The sequence below is a fragment of the Homo sapiens genome, chromosome 5, assembly GCF_000001405.40.
Source record: "Homo sapiens chromosome 5, GRCh38.p14 Primary Assembly".
NCBI classification, from domain to species: Eukaryota; Metazoa; Chordata; class Mammalia; order Primates; family Hominidae; genus Homo; species Homo sapiens.
In genome coordinates, this window is record NC_000005.10 from 18,049,315 (window position 1) to 18,051,067 (window position 1,753).

At 33.4% G+C, this 1,753-nt stretch overlaps 1 pseudogene; it reads left to right on the top strand.

Annotated features, from left to right (window-relative positions):
• On the top strand, positions 221–601 carry RPL36AP21 (ribosomal protein L36a pseudogene 21; annotated as a pseudogene).

The window sequence follows — 1,753 nt, forward strand, 5'->3', positions numbered from 1 at the left end:
TATTAATAGATGTGCCGTCTTAGTGATTATTTGACCTAATCATATTTGTAACTTTTAAAATATTTCCCTTTCCCCTTCTAGTTTTGAAAATGGGCTCAAAATCTATTTAAATTCATTAGTTATGAAAAAGAGAGCTCTTTCTTCCCTTTCCTGTTAGGCGAGAGCTGCCGGAGGCAAGGGTCTCCGATGCCGTTTCTTGTTCTCATCATGTAGACAAAACAGCCCTGCTGCAAAGATGGTCAACGTACCTAAAACCGGAAGAACCTTCTGTAAGAAGTGTGGCAAGCATCAGCCTCACAAAGTGACACAGTATAAGAAGGGTAAGGATTCTTTGTATGCCTAGGGAAAGTGGCACTATGATCGGAAGCAGAGTGGCTATGGTGGGCAGACAAAGCCAATTTTCTGGAAGAAGGCTAAGACCACAAAGAAGATTGTGCTAAGGCTGGACAATGTGTTGAGCCTAACTGCAGATCCAAGAGGATGCTGGCCATTAAGAGATGCAAGCATTTTGAACTGGGAGGAGATAGGAAGAGAAAGGGCCAAGTGATCCAGTTCTAAACTTTGGGATATTTTTCTTCTAATTTTGAAGAGAAAATGTTGAAGCCATAGAAAAATTACCTGAAGGAAAATAAATACAGTGATATTCTTATAAAAAAAAATAGAGAGACTTCTTGTTATTATGACGAAAGAATTTATTAGGAGTCAAAAGATTTAGGTTGGTGTCTGAATTTTGCTGGGTTCGTGCAGGAGGACCGTGGTCAAATCATCAGCTTCTCTGATGCTTATTTCTTAAATTTTCAAAGCAATGTGGCTGCATTAAGCAAAAGAACACACCTCTTTAATTTCTGTGATTCTATGGTATATTGGTTTACAGTTTTATTTGTATAATATACCCACGAATGTTATACATTTCTTCTGTGCAAAAACACTGAATCTAATCATTGAATATGCACTTGTTTTCAATATATATCACAATATATGGTCATTTTCAATATGTCACACATGTTATGATTTATATTCAGAAAACTATATTAGATCTTATCATTTCTCAAATTGTATGATATAATTGACCAAATGATAATATTTTTCATATTTGAAGCACACTGATATAAAATCAATATTCTGTTCTGAGATGTTTGCAATTCTCATAAAATTTTACTTTTCTATATTTAAATAGTGAAGAATAAAATTTCAACGAATAAGTGTTTATCTTAATGTAATGAAATGCTGACTAAGCACAATAAAATGTTATTTAATATCATAATATTTTGATATATATTGAAAAAGAATGTACATTTTGATTGCCAATCAAGTTTTAAAAGTTGTCTTTTATTAGAGACATCTTTTCTTTTATTTGAGATGCATTTTTCACTTTAACTGATTTTAACATATTGTTTCCAAACAGTCTTTTAGGACATACCTCTGATAGATAATTAAGACATAATTTTTGCTTCTAAGAAGTTAAGAAATCAGAGGGTAAAGGCTTCAACCCAGATAATTATGTTACAAAGCCAAATTTGATGCATCCTTTAAGGACAGTGCAAAAAATAAAGAAAAAAAAAGAAAAAGTGTACTGGTTTCTAGAGGAGTTATCTATCCTTTCCACATTTCATCAGGATTCGATAAAGACACTTGTTTGCTGGCACATTTAAACCTCAAGATGATGGAAGGCTAACGAGAGTGATGTAAATAAACCTTTTTGGGGCACATGGCCTTATTCGCCCCCTTTGTCTCTTGGGTTTTTTATATTTGA